Genomic DNA, 657 nt, shown 5'->3' on the forward strand with positions numbered 1-657 from the left:
TAATCCCAGCACTTTGGGAGGCCGAGGCGGGCAGATCACGAGGTCAGGAGATGGAGACCATCCTGGCTAACACGGTGAAACCCCCTCTCTACTAAAAATACAAAAAATTAGCCGGGCGTGGTGGCGGGCGCCTGTAGTCCCAGCTACTCCCGAGCCTGAGGCAGGAGAATGGCGTGAACCTGGGAGGCGGAGCTTGCAGTGATCCAGATCCAATATGGCGCCACTGAACTATAGCCTGGGCGACGGAGCCAGACTCCGCCTCAAAAAAAAAAAAAATCTCTGAATTGCCTTCAAAATGATGTCTCATTTAGAAAACATGATTTTTCATATTTATTCCTGATGCCACATTAACATTTTTGACTGCTGATGGCCATTAATGTAAACAAGAAAAACATATTTTTTAAATGCAGTGCAATTTACTTAAAAATATTTTGCATTTCTCTTCCTTACATGTTTACAATATTGAAAGACCCTTTATTTTTAATTTTGTGAGAGAAATAACCAGAAACTTTGAGAAATCCCAACCTTATATGGAAGAACATTTCTAGATATGTGAAGGAATTGTGTAGAATGTATTTTTTCATACCTATTTGAAAAGAATAGAAATAACTCTGTCTTTTACAATTGCTAGGGAAATAACAGGTCTGAGAGTTGAGA

The sequence above is a fragment of the Homo sapiens genome, chromosome 4 (genome assembly GCF_000001405.40).
Source record: "Homo sapiens chromosome 4, GRCh38.p14 Primary Assembly".
Classification (NCBI taxonomy): domain Eukaryota; kingdom Metazoa; phylum Chordata; class Mammalia; order Primates; family Hominidae; genus Homo; species Homo sapiens.